The sequence below is a fragment of the Homo sapiens genome, chromosome 6 (genome assembly GCF_000001405.40).
Source record: "Homo sapiens chromosome 6, GRCh38.p14 Primary Assembly".
In the NCBI taxonomy this organism is placed as follows: Eukaryota; Metazoa; Chordata; class Mammalia; order Primates; family Hominidae; genus Homo; species Homo sapiens.
The window spans coordinates 80,973,780-80,975,332 of NC_000006.12; the positions used below are offsets into that span (position 1 = coordinate 80,973,780).

General features: G+C 45.0%; 1 annotated feature.

The window, feature by feature from the left end:
• Positions 366-1,097: an enhancer, noted in NCBI's record as "OCT4-NANOG-H3K27ac hESC enhancer chr6:81683862-81684593 (GRCh37/hg19 assembly coordinates)". NCBI's record gives its function as "activates a minimal SCP1, AML or CMV promoter by ChIP-STARR-seq in primed H9 embryonic stem cells {active_cell/tissue: H9 hESC(primed)}" and the evidence as "EXISTENCE:reporter gene assay evidence [ECO:0000049][PMID:30033119]".

The following is a 1,553-nucleotide window of genomic DNA, read 5'->3' on the forward strand; positions in this document are numbered from 1 at the left end:
AGGGGTAGTCTTTCCTGAATGGTTTAGTACCATCATTTTAGCACTGCACTTGTGATAGTGAGTTCTCATAAGATCTGGTCATTTAAAACTATGTGGCACGTTCCCTATTTCTCTCTTGATCCTGCTCTGGCTATGTGACATACCTGCTACCCCTACACATTCTGCCAGGATTGGAAGTTTCCTGCAGCCTCCCCAGAAGACAAGCAGATGATAGCATCATGCTTCTTTTAATATCTGCAGAACTGTGAACCAACTAAACCTCTTGTCTTTATAAATTACTCAGTCTCAGGCATTTCTTTATAGCAATGCAAGAACAGCTTAATACAGAAAATTGGTGCTGAGGAGGGGGACATTGTTATAAAACCTGAAAATGGGAAAGCAGTTTTGGAACTGGGCAATAAGCAGACATTGAAAGAGTTTGGAGGGCTCAGAAGAAGATAGAAAGATGAAATAAAGCTTTGAATTTATTAGAGACTGGGTAAATAGTTGTCACCAAAATTTCAACAGTGATACAGACAATGAAGTTCAAAGTGAGGAGGCCTCAGATGGAAATGAGGAACTTAGGAACTGGAGAAAAGGTCGCTTTTGCTATGCCTTAGCAAAGAACTTGCCTGCATTGTGCTCCTGCCCTAGAGATCTATGGAACTTTGAAATTGAGAATGATGATTTGGGGTATCTGATGCAGCAAAGCATTCAAGTAGTGGCTGGGGAGATTCTAACAGCCCTTGCTCATCTGTGGGAGCATAGAAATAACTTAAAGTTGGAACTTATATTTAAAAGGAAAGCAGAATATAAAAGCTTGAAAAATTTGCAGCCTGGCTATGTGGCAGAGAAAAAAAAAAACAAAAATAAACTTTTTTTGGGAGAAAAATTTAAGCAGGCTGCGGAGCTACCACTTGCTAAGAAATTTGCATAACTAAGAGGAAGCCAAGTGCTATTATCTAAGACAATGGGAAAACTGGCCTCAAAAGCATTTCAGAGAGATTGGCAGCCCCTCCCATCACAGGTCCTGAGGCCTAGGAAGAAAGAATGGTTTTATGGGTCAGATACAGGGCCTTGCTGCCTTGCACACCCTCAGGACACTGCTCCCCACATTCCAGCCACTGTAGCTCCAGTCTCAAAGGGGCCCAGGCACAGCTCACGCTACAGCTCTAGAGGGCACAGCTATCATAAGCCAGCTTCCACATGGTGTTAAGCCTGCAGGTGCAAAGACTGAATAAGGCTTGTCACCCTCCACCTAGATTTCAGAGGTTATATGAGAAAGTCTGAGTGCCAAGGCAGAAGCCTGCTGCAGGGTTGGAAGCCTCACAGAGGACATCTACTGGGGCAGTGTGGACGGAAAATGTGAGGTTGGAGGTCTCACAGAGAGTCCCCACTGGGACATTGCCTAGTGGATCTGTGGAAAGAGGGCCACCATCCTACAGACCCCAGAATGGTGGATACACTGGAAGCTTGCATGCTCAGTGTTAAGCACAGGTGCTCAACAACCTGTGAGAGCAGCCTCTAGGGCTAAACACTGCAAAGCCACAGGGGCAGAGCTGCCCAAGGCCTTA